Source organism: Homo sapiens, chromosome 10 (assembly GCF_000001405.40).
Source record: "Homo sapiens chromosome 10, GRCh38.p14 Primary Assembly".
Taxonomy (NCBI): Eukaryota; Metazoa; Chordata; class Mammalia; order Primates; family Hominidae; genus Homo; species Homo sapiens.
This window is the reverse complement of record NC_000010.11, coordinates 117,663,637-117,664,546: the sequence shown is the minus strand read 5'-3', so window position 1 is coordinate 117,664,546 and position 910 is coordinate 117,663,637. Positions and strand designations below refer to the sequence as shown.

General features: G+C 36.7%; 1 annotated feature.

Annotated features, from left to right (window-relative positions):
• Positions 527-696: a silencer, noted in NCBI's record as "silent region_2862". NCBI's record gives its function as "represses an Ori minimal core promoter by ATAC-STARR-seq in GM12878 lymphoblastoid cells {active_cell/tissue: GM12878}" and the evidence as "EXISTENCE:reporter gene assay evidence [ECO:0000049][PMID:35858748]".

The following is a 910-nucleotide window of genomic DNA, read 5'->3' as shown; positions in this document are numbered from 1 at the left end:
GCGATTGGCAAACTATGGCCGGCAGCATAAAATCTAGCCCACTGTCTATTTTTGTAAATAAAGTTTTATTAGAACACAGCTGAGCCTATTCATTTAAGTGTTTTCTATGGCTGCTTTTGTGCTACGACTTCAGGGCTGAACGGTTGTAACAGAGACTGTATGACTTGTAAACTCTAAATATTTACTATCTGGCCCTTTACAGACACAGTTTGCAGTGCCTGTTTTAGACCATGGATTCTCAGGTAATGTGCACATCACTCTGAAAGGGGAAATAAATATCCACATGGCCCCATCTTTGTCTTAAATTATTTTATTGTAATGTTATTTAAATAGATGCATACATATAATTACGTATAATCATCTTAGGCTTTTAGCTCTTACACCACTAGAAAACAAAAAAGATTCTTGGACTCAATGCCTGCAGAATGACAAAAACATTAAAATTAAAATTAACAGCATTAAAATAACACAACTGGTGATGCTTTTGCTGAAGAGGCATTGCTACTTGGAGCACGTGTGGCCTCTAGGATACAGATTTGTTTACATTTAGCAAGGTCAGTACCAACAGAGTGCTGTGTGATGACTCAATTCTCCCACTCGGTTTCTCCCTTCTAACTATTGCAAACACTTTCATTCACACAGAAAGCCATGACAACATGGGCCTTCAGTGGATACAAATACTCACTCAACCACATCTGTGCTTTCTCTCATCAGCCTGTGAGAACTAAAATGTGTTTGATTGCCCCAGCATCTCATGATACAATTAAAACTTGGACACTAAAATCTTATGTCCATACCCAGGTATAAAGTGACCAGCCAGCCAAGCCAGAAAATATTTACATCCATTTTTTTCAAATTATCAATAAAATAAAAATGGAATTAAAAAAAAAATCTTAGAGGATTTGTCCAA